The 14,475-nt window shown below is 37.9% G+C and overlaps 1 protein-coding gene across 9 annotated transcripts in view; it reads left to right on the top strand.

The window, feature by feature from the left end:
- Positions 1–14,475, top strand: part of PLD1 (phospholipase D1) — a 210,080-nt gene that overhangs the window by 70,149 nt on the left and 125,456 nt on the right. For all 9 annotated transcript variants that reach the window (XR_007095693.1, NM_001130081.3, NM_002662.5 and 6 more), the window contains exons 2-7: positions 2,253–2,443; positions 2,676–2,803; positions 4,698–4,843; positions 5,365–5,470; positions 6,826–6,891; positions 14,259–14,317. Coding sequence is in view for 8 of the 9 variants with exons in the window: in NM_001130081.3 (NP_001123553.1) it covers positions 2,284–2,443; positions 2,676–2,803; positions 4,698–4,843; positions 5,365–5,470; positions 6,826–6,891; positions 14,259–14,317 (665 nt within the window). In the remaining variant the exon portion in view is untranslated. The remainder of the gene's footprint in view (positions 1–2,252; positions 2,444–2,675; positions 2,804–4,697; positions 4,844–5,364; positions 5,471–6,825; positions 6,892–14,258; positions 14,318–14,475) is intronic.

Raw genomic sequence — 14,475 nt, 5'->3', positions numbered from 1 at the left:
GAGGAAAGGACATACATATTTTGATTTTGACCAAGGGCAATGGCTCCTCAATGGAGGCTGAATAGATCTTAATTAAGTTATCCAGGTTAGAAAACATTCTGCTACCTGCTTCTCTTACCCAAATGCAAAACTACTCTGATTAATCTCTTGGGATAGGAAAAGGGTTAAAGTAATTAAATTATAAGGGAGGCTGAATACTTTTATGGCATCTCTTATCTACAGTTAGGGTTTTCGTGTTAAAAGAACTCTAGAGATGAAATGGCTCAACCTCCTCAATTTATAGAGAGGAAACAAAGACCCTGGGAATTTAAATGGCTTCATCCTGTGGTAACCGAGTTGCAGGAGATTATTTCCAATTCTTCCTGTTAGGGTTTGCTCTTACATGGACTTGCCCCAGGGTACTTATTTATATTAACTGTTCCATCTATTCCAAAGCACTTACATATCTACAAAGAATAGAGAGCAAGATAAAGGTCGTGGTTGAGAATATCAACTTTTGGGTTAGAGAAACCTGAATTCCAGTCCCTTCTTCACCACTTACCAGCTGTGTGACCTTGACAGATTGTTTAAAATATTGGTCAAGTTACTTAGTCTTTCTTTGCCTCAGTTTCCTTATCTATAAAGAGGGGATGGCAAACTCCTGTCATGCTCAAAATAGAAAAAACAAGCCCTCACAGATTTATTATTAATGACAAATGAGACAATGTATGTAAACAATTATCACCAGCGAGGTGCATTCTAAACATTAGTAACTATTAACTATTATGATATAAATTAGAAGTGGGAGGGAAAGTTGAAGGGAAGAGATAGTCCTATACTTGGCTATATAGTAGGCCACAAATTTGGCTCCAAGCTTTCTTACAGGCAACATAGAGAAAGAAACATGATTGATTACATAGTTCCAGGGAACTTAGATATATGAATTTTATATGTCTGGCCAAACCAGAACCTCCCTCCTTCGCTCCCATTTTTGAATTTCCAAACACAGTCTCTTTCTCCCAGACATAAAAGTATAGGTTTTCGAGACTCATTGAGTTATAATAAGGGCTGTGTAAGTTTGCCTGAGACTTTCTTAGCATTTCCCATATAGCCACTTAGCTTTTTGATAGCACCTGCAGGAGAGACCCAGCTAAGTGTCTTCCCCTGGGCAAATTTCATTCTCAAGAAGCCTAAGACCTTGGAGGAGGCCAGGGGTGAACTTTGGGTTAGATGCCTCATTTTCCTCACCCATATCAGGTGCTCCTTAATCACAGGGGCCTGCCTTATTCACCTTCACGTTTTCATTCATCTCATCTCACATGTGGTGGATGCTCAGTGTTTGTGATTTGCAGTAAGAAAGGAACATGTGCCAAAGAGTTACTGGTATGAGCGTCCTTCCATTCTAGGGCCTGGTTTTAACAGATTATTTCTACATCAGGCAAAACAGATGTTTCATCCAACTCTGATGACAGTGTGCAAAGCTTGAATCTCAATATTTTACATGAAAAATAATATCCATGTGAACTCTTCTGCCCTGGGTACTGATGTGCAACGACTTGTGTTATTAAATGTCAGAATGAAATAGAACTGGTTTTCTTTAAAGAAAAAGAAAGGAGGGAAGTATAATTCTAGCACCTCAGATGTCTTTCGGAATAGGTATATTAATCAATTTCCTTTCAAGACACATACGTCATTATACCTCACGTAAAGTCATGGCCAAAATCTCCTTTCTTGAAGAGGTAATATACACTTTGCTTGGGATATCACCTACAGAGAAAATGTAGAAATATTATGCTATCATAAAAATATTTCTAAATCTATATATTTCAATATGTGAAATACTCTAAATTTTCTTTAGGAAATATTTAGAGTTGCTTATTTTTCATGATATTCTTTCTTCAGCTGTATTTATTACAGCAAATAATCTATTTCTTTCTCTGAATAAGCTTTCCCAAACCAATCTCCCTTGAATTACTTATCCAAGTTAATAAAGTTGGATGAGAGAAATGTTGGCATTCAATGTGGTGTTGCTTTTTTTTTTCTTTTTTTTTTCTCTTGTTTTCAATTAAGCACTCTGTTTTAATTTACAAGTTAGGAATCCTTTAAATGTTAAACAGGAACGTAAACTAAAAGGTTGTTTTGGATAACTGAGGCTCACACAGAGCAGGCTGAATTGTTTCCATATGCTGTATCTAAGTCTGGATTCAAATTGTGGAATAGCATTTTATGTTATCAAAATGCTAAGTCTTTGTAACCGTTTTCTTCTTTCCTAGCCCCTTTGCTTTTACTCTGTCCAAAGTTAACATGTCACTGAAAAACGAGCCACGGGTAAATACCTCTGCACTGCAGAAAATTGCTGCTGACATGAGTAATATCATAGAAAATCTGGACACGCGGGAACTCCACTTTGAGGGAGAGGAGGTAGACTACGACGTGTCTCCCAGCGATCCCAAGATACAAGAAGGTAAAGACGGATGATCTGAGCGGGGAAGAAAAGAGTTTATCTCGGTTGGTCGGAAGACCACAAATTTGAAGTAACCAGCAAATGATTGATTTTCCTTGCAGATGTAACACCGGGCTCAGATCATTTTATAAGAGGCTTACTTGTTTTAACACGTGATTCTTAAAAGAATGCCTGTAAAAGACAAGTTATGCTAATCATATATTGCATTAACTTTATTTACTTTTTTTTTTAGTGTATATCCCTTTCTCTGCTATTTATAACACTCAAGGATTTAAGGAGCCTAATATACAGACGTATCTCTCCGGCTGTCCAATAAAAGCACAAGTTCTGGAAGTGGAACGCTTCACATCTACAACAAGGGTCAGAGCGTTTATGGACTCACCCTTTTTTCTTTTGTCAATATATGTGAATTAGTACATAGCCTTTCATTTTCCTCCCTCTTAGCTATGATCATGTTTGTAGGTTTTTGTTTGTTTGTTTTTATGTATCTATCATTTCCAAGTCATTTTCACCTGTCAAGTTTTTGCCTCCTTCCCATTTAATCTTCATTCTTATATTCCTCTTTCTTCATTTGAGCCAAAGCTCTTTCTTTTAAAAAGGCATGTAAGGCAAATTAACAGTTTAATAAATTGCAAAGTGCCTCTCTTAATCTTCTTCTCTCCCCAGTTTTCTGTTTCATTTGGACTCTTGATGCATATTTATTCCACCTTGCATGGCAGGTATAAGTCAACAAGAATTTTAGCTTTCCTAATGTTTATTTAGCATGAAAATGTTGGTGCTACCTGGCTCTTAAGAAAAAAAGCCGGGATACTGGATCGGCCAGTGCCATTACCTCAAAATACTGTTGAGAGAATTCTGCAGCCATACTCTGCCTCTCTGATTGGTTCCTAGAAAACCATCCTTTAGTCCTCATTCACGTGATATTTCACTGAACGCTGAAAAGGCTTTGGAGTAAAATGTCTTCAACAATCAAAGTTATGCCCTTTGAAATGGATTGGACTAGAAGAAGCTGTTAGGGTAGCTACTTTTCTCTGTTCCTGGCTGGATTTTGCAGTTGTTAAGTCTCCGGGGGAGGACAATTGCTGCAGGGTGGTGACCTTTGTCCCTTCAGGCTAAGATCTAGCCATGGCAGAGTAAGGCCACCACTGCCTCCTGCCTCAGGGGAAGCACAGATTAATAACCAGCTGTCAGGGCATGCTTTGCCTTCCCTTCCTCCTTGTCTTTTGGAGGTGGCATGCGCTGCATTGCTTTCTGGGTGGTTTTGCCTGGTGCTGTGTCCCAGCCTACCTGCACATGTACTGACTCCCAGCTTACACTCATTTTGGTGTCAGCCTCTGGTTTAGGCTTTCCCTGTGACTCGGGTCCATGTCTCCCTGATACACCACTGAGCACAACTCCCTCAGAAATGTCTCTAAGATGAGCTTTGTTTTCTTATTTCACCTGCCAGCATTTAGATTGAAAGATAATAACATGTGGGGGTAAATGACAGACTCTAGAGGCAGACTGCATGGTTTAATTCATCTTTGCCTTGTGATCTTGAATGAGTGACTTAACCTCTCTGTTCCTGTTTCCTCTTCTGAATAAAGGGTATAACAGTGCTTACATTATAGGTTTATTACAAAGATTTAGTAATAATAATACATATGTATTATATTATACAAGTATACACTGTATACTCATTACTGCAGTCACTTTTTCCACCCACCCCTCCTTAACACTGGTGGTTCCTTAGGGTGGGTGGGTGGTATAGACAAGGCTGGACCTTGGAATGTGTTTCACAAGAGAAGGAGAGAAGGCATGTCGTGCCATTTCTGAAGAACAAAAACAGCCAAGATGGTGCTGTTAGTATACAATACGTCTCACCCCTGCCAATTGCCTGGTGCACGGCTTATATTTGTGGACTGGACCCCTGAAGGCTAATTAGGGCCTTTCTCATTGTCTCCTCCACCTAGTTCTTCATTTCAGGTGTGTGTGTGCGTGGATGCATACACGCACATATGTTGGAGGAACAGCGTTTGTAGGAATCGTCTCGTGTGATTGAAAGTTTGTCTTATGTAATTCATCAAGTGAACATTTAGAGAATATTATTTCTGCAATTGGCTGCTTTTGAAACAAATTTACTTAAGTACTTACACAAAATAAGTAGGCTGGACTTAAGTATACTTCTCTGTTACTAGTTAAATATTGTTCACTGAAAGCTTTTGGAATTTTTGTTGTTATCTAAAATATCAAACATTTTTATGTATCACTGTAGGTACCAAGTATTAATCTTTACACTATTGAATTAACACATGGGGAATTTAAATGGCAAGTTAAGAGGAAATTCAAGCATTTTCAAGAATTTCACAGAGAGCTGCTCAAGTACAAAGCCTTTATCCGCATCCCCATTCCCACTAGAAGGTAACCATTTTGGAATTAATTATGCCAGTATACAAGTTGAATGGAAAGTGTATTTTGTCTGGGTGTGGTAGCTCACACCTGTAATCTCACCACTTTGGGAGGCTGAGGCAGGAGGATCAGTTGAGGTCATGAGTTTGAGACTAGCCTGTGTAACGTAGCAAGACCTCCTCCCTATAAAAAAATTAAAAATTTAGCTGGACGTGGTGGCACGTGGTGATAGTTAGTAGTTCTACCTACTCAGGAGGCTACAACAGGAGGATTGCTTGAGCCCAAGAGTTTAAAACTGCAGTGAGCATGATTGTACCACTGCACTCCATCCTGGGTGACAGAGTACATCCAATCTTTAAAATAAATAAATAAAAAGTGTATTTAATTCACAATATCGGCTAACTAGTCTATTGTTGGTAGATATTTTCAATTAAATAGTCTCTTAAAAATATGCCGTCTCATGAAAGACATACTAAAGTCATAGTCACAGAATAATCTAGTAGGTGTTTGCATTCTGTGTGTTTGTGTTTTAGACACACGTTTAGGAGGCAAAACGTCAGAGAGGAGCCTCGAGAGATGCCCAGTTTGCCCCGTTCATCTGAAAACATGATAAGAGAAGAACAATTCCTTGGTAGAAGAGTAAGTTTCTTCACTATTCTGTGGTTTTAAACCTAATTTTGCAGTGCTGTAGAAACACAGCATCTACTGAGGGGTGAAGTAGGCCTGGCTACAACTCCTCTCATCCACTCATTGATCCCCAGGCTGGTTTAGCTTTTCTGGAACTAGTTAGGCAGTCCCTTCTTTCCCCAAGCCATACAGTGCATTTTCTCAGAAGAGGAAGAGCGTTCTTGGTTAGGCCTTGACATTATGAAGAAGCTGTTCTCCCTGCTAGAATCTCCTTGGGCTTATTGTGAGTCAAAGATTGAACTCATTGTTGTGGGTTTTGAGATCTACTCTTTTAAAATAATATTTTCCATACATAAGTTTCCGTGTTTGTAATAGCCCATCTTAAATATATGTAAAATCTCATTCCTAAACTATAGATGGAGCAGTTAGGGCCTGAGAAGAGTCTGACGGAGTACAGACAGGCACAGCACTGGGACAGAAAACTCCAGAGGAGGGGCACTTCTGCCTGCTCTGCTTCCAAGATGGGTGCTGCAGAGTGTGGACAATTAATTTTTTTTACTAGAAAATGAACAAGTGTTTGTTAATTTCTGTCAGTTCTGTTTTGTAATCTGAAATGTTTATGTTCCAGAGGGAATGTTTGATTTCTCCTTTGTAGTTGTCATCTTGTTTAAAATCTTTGTAGGCATCTGGACCAAATATTTTCCAAGATACCTAGACATATAAAATTATATAGTTTTGGTTTACTGTGTGCACATGTATGAATTCAACTGAAAATGACACTTAGTGATTCAGCAAAAGCATGCTGGATTTTACATCATGGTCAATATGATTGACATATGTTGCTCCAGTGCCCCAAGCCTATATCCCTCTACTCCCCTGCTGCCTCCACACACAGTTTAGCATATTTAAAATCAGTACATTCTACTAGAAAGTCTTTTAACCTTTCTCCACCTTTGTTTCCTGAAAAGCTGTTTAAAATTTGTAGTGTATCTTTCAGTAAGTTCAGTGTTAGAATTGAAAAAAAAATGAAAGTTTTTGGTAATATCAACAAATGCTTTAAAACAACTTATAGCAAGTCCTGCTATAATAGCTATATACATATAATAGGGCTTGTCAGCAGTTTATAGAAGACCTAAGCATATGGAAAGTTAAACAGTAAGAAGATATTTAAATAATAGTTCAAGAGAAATATGGAAATAACACCTTAATGCTATTCAGGATTCCTTGCTCCATGATTATATTAATAAATAATTGAATAACTTGTAGAAGTTAAGATGAAAATGATGATCTCATCATTGTCACTACTGTTTAATTTTTAAAAATAAATATGACCATGTTAACACTTATCTAAAATATTTGCATTACAGAAACAACTGGAAGATTACTTGACAAAGATACTAAAAATGCCCATGTATAGAAACTATCATGCCACAGTAAGTACTAGTCAGTGATTTAAGTTTGGAGTAATTTTCACTATAGTAAATTGTCAGCTAAATTTTGGATCATTTTAATAACACAAGTGATTGTATCCACACCTACATTCGTCCTTGCATTAAAATAAATTAAGTGAATACAAAGTTGATTTTACAGCAAGGATCCAGTTTACAGTGGTGTGACGCTGTTTTAAAAAGTTGAGTAGAACTTAATATGTCTATAACAATAGATTTAAATGAACTTGAAATCCTGCTATAGGCTAGATTATCTAGAAATCAACCTTCTTCTCTTCTCAGGTTTCCAGGATAATGCCAAAAAGCATTTTTTAGCTACAAAGAGTAACTGTTGAGTAGTAAGTGATGAAAACAGTTGAGTGGAGTTGAATGCCTGAAGATTTTGTGGTGCGTAGGGCGATTGCCATCTGATTGGTTTGTCATGCCTGTTAAAGGCATGTCTTTTCATGTGAAAGTGAGAAGCATGAGAAAAGCTAGGAAAGAAAAAACCCTTGAGGAATCCAAGTAAAGAAAGAAGAGGCGATGGGGCTTAGATGCAGCCACAGAGATTAAGCTTGGGGTATGCAGCTGGCAAGCAGGGAGGGAGTGGGTTTTCTAGTGTCAGCAAACAAGTAGCTCTGCACTATTAAAGGTGGGGTGTTTTTAAAGGTTTAGCCTTCAATTATTCAGAGGCCTGGATAACTGAGAATGCATGGTTTATCGTATGTATGTATGCATTTGTATGAATTGTATGGTTATGGGGGCTGTATGCATCTATATTATATATGTGCAGAACTCTAGAGTTGGTGCAATTGTGATTTGTCCGCTAGTTTAGAGAATGGCATCACATAAACACATAAACTGAAACAGTAAAGACTTTAGTGTATTTTGGAGAGGATGCAAGAGCATTTGGCTCTGCGAGTTTCTCATGACAGGAGCTGCCTTCCTGCTGCCTTGCAGCACATGGTTTGGAGTCTGGTCCAAATATACATCCAGCTGTCCCATTACACACAGGTGACCTGGATCCAGGTCACTACCTGCCTCCAGCAGCAGCTTGCACTGGGGCATTCAATGGACTTGAGGGAGCTTCTATGTCTTCATAAACCTGGAGAAGGGTTTTCTCAGGAAAACAGGAATTTGGGTTGCACCAGAGGATCTCAAGAGAAGGATGATGGGAGGCAGGGGTTTCTTTTCTTCTAGGACTCAGGAACTTGTATTGTTGAAATAACAATGAATAAGGATACTACTACTATTGTTAATAAAAATGATACCTCCTGTTGTGTTGTCTGAAATCCGACATGCTATTTTCTTTAACAGACAACTATTTAAATGTGTATTAGTATCCATATGCAATAATTTTCCATTTCTTTTACTTTTCTGCCTGCCTGTGACTTTACTTTTACTATTTCTTTTGGCTGTAACCATTCTTGGTGAGTTCATTCTTCTCTTTTCATGTACTTTTCTACATTTGGGATTCTACTGTTGACTAAAGAATGTTTAGATTTAAAAAGTGTTCTTTTTAATGACTTTTCCAGTCATAAAAATATTTTCAAAGTTAGGCCATGTTGTATTTAGAAATCCCAGAGTGACCTGTAAACATTTCCTTTGGAAGGGAAAGCCTCATTAGCAACTGACTGTGAATAGATTCTCCTCTCATTTTCTTTTTTTTTTCTTTTTTGGGATGGAGTCTTGCTCTGTTTCCCAGGCTGGAGTGCAGTGGCATGATCTCGGCTCACTGCAACCGCCGCCTCCCGGGTTCAAGTGATTCCCCTGCCTCAGCCTCCCAAGTAGCTGGGACTACAGGTGGGATTACAGCAAATTTTTGTATTTTTAGTAGAGACGAGGTTTCACCATGTTGGCCAGGATGATTTCGATCCCTTGACCTTGTGATCCGCCCGCCTCTGCCTCCCAAAGTGCTGAGATTACAGGCGTGAGCCACCGTGCCCAGCCTCCCTCTCATTTTCGATGGTTACTGAGATTATTCTCTCCAACAGCTGAATTGTTCAATATGATTCAAGCATAGGATACAATTTGATATACATTAATTCTCTAACATTCTTTTTCTTTAAATGTAGTCTGGCCTAAAGACTAGATCTGTAGACCTCTGCCTCATATTTGTGAAATGAGATTGGAATTTACATGTTTTCTTCAATAATTGTGAGAAATACTAAAAAAGTATCTGTTAAAAAATGCTTTACTGTCTGTAAAAAGCATATTAAAAGTTATTTTAACATGTATATAATAAATTTATACTTTTATAAGTATAAAACAAACCTATTTTAAGTTAATTCAGGTCCATAAGCAGATAGAATCATGGATCATAGGTCAAGGGACTGAATAGGATATGTTCTTAATCTCTATAGGGCCATCCAGATCTGTATTTGGAATAAGTGTGTTTAACAAATAGCTCAAGTGATTCTTATCATCAGGAGTTTGAGAACTAAACTAAAATGCTATGATCAGCTTAGAAATGTCTTGGTAAAGTTAGACCACTTTAAAAAGTGGAGACAGGGCTGGGCGCAGTGGCTCATGCCTGCAATCCCAGCATTTTGGGAGGCCAAGGCAGGTGGATAACCTGAGGTCAGGAGTTCGAGACCAGCCTGGACAACATGGTGAAACCTCATCTCTACTAAAAATACAAACATTAGCTAGGCGTGGTGGTGGGCGCCTTTAATCCCAGCTACTTGGGAGGCTGAGACAGAAGAATCGCTTGAACCCGGGAGGCGGAGGTTGCAGCGAGCCACAGTTGCGCCACTGCACTCCAGCCTGGGTTATAGAGGAAGACTCTGCCAAAAAAAAAAAAGTGGAGATAGATTTATTATAAAGGTGTTTGTATAATAGGATTTTCCCCAAAGGAATTTGGTTTAGGGTTCTAAGCACTGACATTATTTTTCTTAAGTAGCCTCTGAAATTAGACATGGACAGTTCTTTCCTCTCACTTTTATACAGCCATTGGTTGGGTTTGTGCTCAGACCTTCTCTCCCATGATTATGAAGACTTCCTCTGCTTTTAATTCTTTTTTTTTTTTTCCTTCTTGTGGTTCTGCAAAGGAGAGCATCCTAGTGTTTTAGTGTAGTCATGATCAGACAGTTGCCTCAGAGACCATTGGTGATTTGTTCAGTTTTCTTTGCTCATTTGTAAAATGGGGACAAATGTATTTCCTCTTTACCCTAAGCATAAATATGTAAAAAAATAGCAATATCTGAGTTGTGTAATAACATACAAAAAAATCTCAAACAAGAATTCCTTTTGTATTCTGAAATTGTATTAGTGCTGGCTGTAGTAGAGAACTCACTAGCTAGGCATTTTAATTAGTAACTGGAAAATGCTTATCTTCCAGGGAATTAAAATCAGAGGAATAAGGAGCAATAAATGTACCTTTTTCATACCTGAGATTAAAATCTAGAAATGGAACAAATTGTACAATTTCCAAGAGAAGGGCCCTAAGGTGATAGGATCGTATCTCTACCTTGAAGTAAATCATTTAACTTATGTGACTCAGATTTCTTATCCCCAAGAAGGTGATTAGCTTGAAATCCTTGGGTAAAACATCCCACAGATCAATAATACTGAGTTCACCTCTCCCTTGTTTTGTAGAATGAACTTTAACTTGAGGGGAAGAGTAGGTAAAGAATAAACGTGCACACAGTGTTTTCATTCCAACAGGGAAAAGCTATACTAATTTGAACAGCTGCATCTTCAAATTAAGGGAAATATTTTCTTTCTTATGATTGAGTCTTAGCGTTGAGAAGGACTTTAGGCCTTTGCCCAGCCTCCCAGTTTCCTTCATAGATTAGATGTCCTCTTTGTTCCCTGCCTTTCCTGGAGTACCTGAGTCTACAAGGACATTGCCCAACTCAATGCTCTTACCTTCCTTGTATCTGATAATTTCCCACCTGGCCATTTACTTGAGTTTTTGCTACCTGGTAAATAAAAGGAGCCTCTGAAAGTCACCCTTCTCTTACAATACAAGGATGGGTGGAAGGGGCAGTGTGTACGTGATTGCCAAGTAATTTTCAGGATTTTTTGTTACCCCTAGGGCTTGTTGCTTGTCTCTTGGCATGGAAATATTTTTGCTTCTCTGTTTCTCTAACGTTTTTAGTATCCAATTGGTAGATCATGTTGGAATTTTTTACTTGAGACCACTTTCCACCTAGTGCCAAGAACATTATTGCATTGCAACATTATTTCAATTGTATTCATATTTTACAAATTCCTTTGCCAAAAAAACAAAGACAAAAAGGTATTGATTATACATTACTCAAAAGATCAATGGAATAAGCCCTGCGAAATGCCGTTAGGCTAAATTGATCTTTAAATTCTTATTCCTGAGAATCACTTGCCCAAATGGATAATGGAATTCTTATCACTGAAGATGTACTAAGAAGTTTGGACAACATCATCTTTGTTAAATTTCAATTTTTATTAGTTAGGTTTGCCTCTCAGTTGACCCTGACACATTTACTTTCAATTTGATAACTCTGTATTAGAAAAACGTTTATTGCCAGATTTTTTTTTCTGTATAATAGGCCTGGTTCCTTCTGGAAATCTCTCTCCAGTCAAACTTTACTAAGCCATTAGGATAAATTAAATTTCATATTAATGTGTAACTTTCAATTTTCTACATTATTAATGTGTCTACTTAGCTGAGATTCTTTACGCTTAGCAATTTTGTTATGATATACTCCAAAAGTTATGATTTCTGAATGATTTCAGAGAATATTTCTGTTGTCAACTATTTGATGATAACAGCTATGTAAATAAGAAAATATCCAGGCATTAGATTAGTGGCTTCCTTGATTTTTGTTTTCATTTCCTATTCTTCCCTTCGGTTGTTCTGGGACTTTGCATAAGTTAGTTATGCCTCTGTAGTAGACTATAGTCTTCAAATGTAAACTAGGACTGACATTATTTGTCTGCTCTCCAGAGATAAAAGTTATGACTCAGGATTTTAAAATATTTTGGATTTTATGGCTGGCAATCTGTGAATCATTTCCAATAACCCATAGGATTACCTTTTCCAATTAAGAAGCATTTTCACAAACCAGATAAAAATGCATGATACTGAATCACTGTTTTATATAAGAAATGAAATGTAAAGACCTTGAGGTGTTTTTTGTTTGTTTGTTTGTTTTTGAGACAGTCCTGCTGTGTTGCCCAGGCTGGAGTGCAGGGGCACGATCTCCGCTCACTGCAACCTCTGCCTCCCGGGTTCAAGTGATTCTCCTGCCTCAGCCTCTGCCTCCTGAGTAGCTGGGATTACGGGCATGCACCACCACACCTGGCTAATTTTTGTATTTTTAGTAGAGATGGGGTTTTGCCATGTTGGCCAGGCTGGTCTTGAACTCTTGACCTCAAGTGATCCACCCACCTCAGCCTTCCAAAATGCTGGGATTACAGGCGTGAGCCACTATGCCTGACTGAGACCTTGACTTTTTAAATTCTCAATTTAAAAAATGCTGTATGAAGATACCTTTGACTTAGGATTTTAAAAAGATATTTAAGTCCTTTTGAATTTTAAAGACCTATTTTCTGCAAATAACCCCAAGAAAAGAGAAAAATGCAAGCATTTAAATGAACCTTACAAGGATGGACGCCTTGAGATATTTGTAATTTTTTTTTACAAGAGTAGTGTTAGATATGTCCAATCACATATAAAACTTACATGGAAAACTTTTGTTTTACTAATCCCATTTACAAACCTAGATCAAATGCCCCTGCCTCTGTGATGTCATGTCAGCTGGGAAGTGGTTGCCCTCCACTATTCTATAACTCTGTAACTACTTTCACATGTATCTAGTGTGGTTCATCCCACAGAACTTCATTGAGGGTAGTGTTTTCCATATCTGGTCTCCCGTCTGCTTCCTAATGCTGGGAGAGTATCTTTTTAGTCTTTGTTGGTCTATCAAGGCTGCTATTGACATGGCCTAAGGAACTGATCTTATTGTTGGTCACTTTTCAAAACGATCTGCAAATCTGCATATGCTAAACATTATGTAATGTTGATTTGTTTTTCCCTTCTATGCCTCCACATTTACATCTAGCTTTCACCTACCTAGAATATGCAAGGAACTCAATTTGAATTAGATAAATGTTGAATGACATTTTGCTCTTCCAGCTTGGTTTTGAGGGCGCTGACTTTGGTCTGACTTCATAATGAGTTAACCATACTGAGTTAATCCCTTCTTAACTATGTGATCTTGGACAACTTACTTGACTTCTCTAAAACAGAGGCCTGCAAACTAGGGCCCGTGGACCAAATCCTGCCCATTGCCCATTGCCTGTTTTTGTATGTTCTGTGAACTAAGAATAGTTTTTATATTTTTAAGTGGTTGAAAAAAAATCAAAAGAATAATATTTTGTGACACATAAAATTAGATTATCTTCATATTTTATATCCATAAATAAGGTTTTATTGGAACACAGCCACAGTTATTCGTTTATGTATGCGTCTATGGCTATTTCCGTGCTACAACAGCAGAGCGAAGTAGATGCAAAATGGAATGTATGCCCACAAAGCCCAAAATATTTACTGTCTGGCTCTTTGCAGAAAATATTTGCTTACCCTTACACTAAACCTCAGTTTCGTCTTCTGTACAATGGGAAAAGTAGCACCTGCTTCAAAGGGGTTTGAGATAATGCATGAAAAATGGTTAGCATAACACCAACTCATAGTTAGCACTCAGTAAACACAGCCACAGTTGTTGTTATAATATTTACAGTTTTTAACCTTCTAATACAGTGAAGGTGGGCCTAAAATTCTCTTCCTCTTCAACTCATTAAAAATAATTCTTTTCATTATGCCTGATGTTCAAAGCCCTCCCCATTCTCTTTTCAGCCTGTTTAATTTTTTATTCTTTTCCTTCATCTTATTCACTGTAACCCAACTGTACATCCTATAACCTTTTTGACCTTCTGTTCTAGCCCCCCATTCATCTCCCATTTCACACTGTGGGCCCAAATCCAGTCCATCTTCCAGATCCTGCACCAATATCACTTGCTTCTCACATTCTTTTATTGTTTGAGTGTACACTGTGCCACACAATATCCATCCCGTGCAACAAAAACAAACATGAAAGAATATTGAGAATAAACTCTCTCTCTCTCTCTCTCCAAGCTTCTTGAGCATTTTATCTCTATGTATTAAGGCACACATCTCTCTCTTCAGATTTAGAAGATCTAGTAGGATGTGTCTTCATTGTTTATATACTCCTAATCTGCACTCTTTTAGTGCAATGCCATTATTATTGATCTGTGTAGTCTGTGGAGCACACCAAACAGTATATACACACAGCTATACCTAATACATGTTTTTTAATGCATAAATTTGAATTGTTTTGCTTGCTAAAGATGGATTTTTTGCTTCTTTTCAGACAGAGTTTCTTGATATAAGCCAGCTGTCTTTCATCCATGATTTGGGACCAAAGGGCATGTAAGTTGCAATAAACCTTAAAAGAGAAGTATGAAAAATTGATTTGCATTCACACTTAACGTAGCAGCATGCCATGGTGATGGAGTCCTCCTGGCTTTACTGCTAGCTTCTCTTCTCCCCAGTAGTTAGAGCAACTGATGGAATTATTCATACAAATC

Source organism: Homo sapiens, chromosome 3 (assembly GCF_000001405.40).
Source record: "Homo sapiens chromosome 3, GRCh38.p14 Primary Assembly".
In the NCBI taxonomy this organism is placed as follows: Eukaryota; Metazoa; Chordata; class Mammalia; order Primates; family Hominidae; genus Homo; species Homo sapiens.
The sequence above is the reverse complement of the archived record's forward strand: the minus strand, read 5'-3'. Positions and strand labels throughout refer to the sequence as shown.